The sequence below is a fragment of the Homo sapiens genome, chromosome 5 (genome assembly GCF_000001405.40).
Source record: "Homo sapiens chromosome 5, GRCh38.p14 Primary Assembly".
NCBI classification, from domain to species: Eukaryota; Metazoa; Chordata; class Mammalia; order Primates; family Hominidae; genus Homo; species Homo sapiens.
In genome coordinates this window covers 85319754-85321488 of record NC_000005.10, presented here as the reverse complement: position 1 = coordinate 85321488, position 1735 = coordinate 85319754, and the positions used below count along the sequence as shown (strand labels likewise).

At 36.0% G+C, this 1735-nt stretch overlaps 1 annotated feature.

Annotated features, from left to right (window-relative positions):
- Positions 308-1507: an enhancer, noted in NCBI's record as "MED14-independent group 3 enhancer chr5:84615800-84616999 (GRCh37/hg19 assembly coordinates)". NCBI's record gives its function as "activates an origin of replication core promoter dependent on BRD2, BRD4, P300/CBP and CDK7 cofactors, and independent of MED14, by STARR-seq in HCT116 cells {active_cell/tissue: HCT116}" and the evidence as "EXISTENCE:reporter gene assay evidence [ECO:0000049][PMID:35650434]".

The window sequence follows — 1735 nt, the reverse complement described above, 5'->3', positions numbered from 1 at the left end:
CATATACTTGAAAATTTTTATGTCATCTTTGGAGAAATGTCTATTTAGCTCCTTTGTCCATCTTTTAATTGGGTTATATTTTTCTTGCTATTGAGTTGTACTATTTCCTTATAAATTTTGGATATTAACCCCTTATCAGATATACAGTTTGCAATTTTTTTCTCAGTCCCAAGGTTACTTTTTATTTTGTTGATTGTTTTGTGACTATGCAGAAGCTTTTTAGTATGATGTAGTCCCATGTCAGTATCTCCACTTTTGTAGCTTGAGCTTTTGCTGTGACATCCAGGATATCGTTGCTAAGGTCTATGTCAAGAAGCTTTTGCCCAATGTATTTTTCTAGTAGTTTTATGGTTCCAGTTCTTATGTTTAGGTATTTTTATCTATTAGGAGTTGATTTTGTATAAAGTGTAAGATATGAGTCTATTTTTAGTCTCTTTCATTCAAAAATCCAGTTTTACCAGCACCATTTATAAGACTATTCTTTGCCCATTGTGTCTTCTTGGTGTCCTTGTGAAAAATTAATTGCCCATATGTGTTTGAATCTATTTCTAGGCTTTCTATTCTGTTCCACTAATCAGTATGTTTGTTTATATGCACAGCCGATATACATGCTCAAATGTCCGTGTTCATTTCCTATTGCCCTCAAGAGTGATAGATGCAGGAAGCAGATAAGGAAGGGTCCCTGAAGAATCTCCGACCCGCCCCACAAGTGTTTATGTTTCATGTTTTTGTGCAGGTAAGGGAACTTGCCCAGGGCCTTGTCTGGGCATGCTGATTGGAGGCCCACATGCACTGGGAGAATGGGGTGGAGCCACCAGGAATTTGCGCCTTGTGCAAGGGCATGAGCCTGGCCTCTTCAGCTCCTGTGTGGTGGCCTGGTATTCAGTCTGTGATGTGGGAGCCTGTTGCCAGGACCCCTCTTCGTTTGCTGAGAGCTTTCTTTTCATACAGTAAAGCCATCCTCCTCACCCTTCAGTGTGTCCATGTGACTAACATTTGCTGGTCCTGAGACAAGAACCGAGATTTTAGCTGAACCAAGGAACAAAAACTCCTGCATCAAGAGCACTTGAATTTCTGACTGCTATTTTGTGTATTTCAACGAATTTTAGCCTGGACAAATAAATAACTATATAATTATAATTCTATTAATATGAAAAGTTACAGTGAATTCTCCTAATAATTTATAATTATTATATATTTTAAATTATGTAAATCTGCATGCTGTAATCATTACCTCTTGGCAGTTTTTGAAAATTCAGAAATGTCTTCATATCTTTGTCTTGTTCTGAAAGCGGAAGCAGGACAAATGCAAATGGTGAATTATTAACCAACAAGGAGTACAGAAAAAATGTAATAGCTTAAGGGACCAAAAATGTAGTGAGATATGGATAGGAAATAAAAATAAGAAAAGAGGACATAAGCAGTTGACGAATATTATACAAATACCGAGATACCAGAGAAGCAAATGAGTTTCTTTCAAAATGACCATGTTATCAGTAAACAAAGAAACGAGAAAAATACATTGAAAGTAGCACAAGCTACATTCTAAAAGTCAGACGCGAAGCTATGACAACTTTAGAAATGTAAACTGCTCTCTTAGTAGCCAAGGTTAGTTTCACCTTTCCTATTATTGTATTCATAAAATTTCATACAGAAGATATGGGGTTTTATAAGCAATGCTAATTTCAAACTCGTCAAACTAGAAAAAATAAAATGTTTTATGTCTAAGTTATTG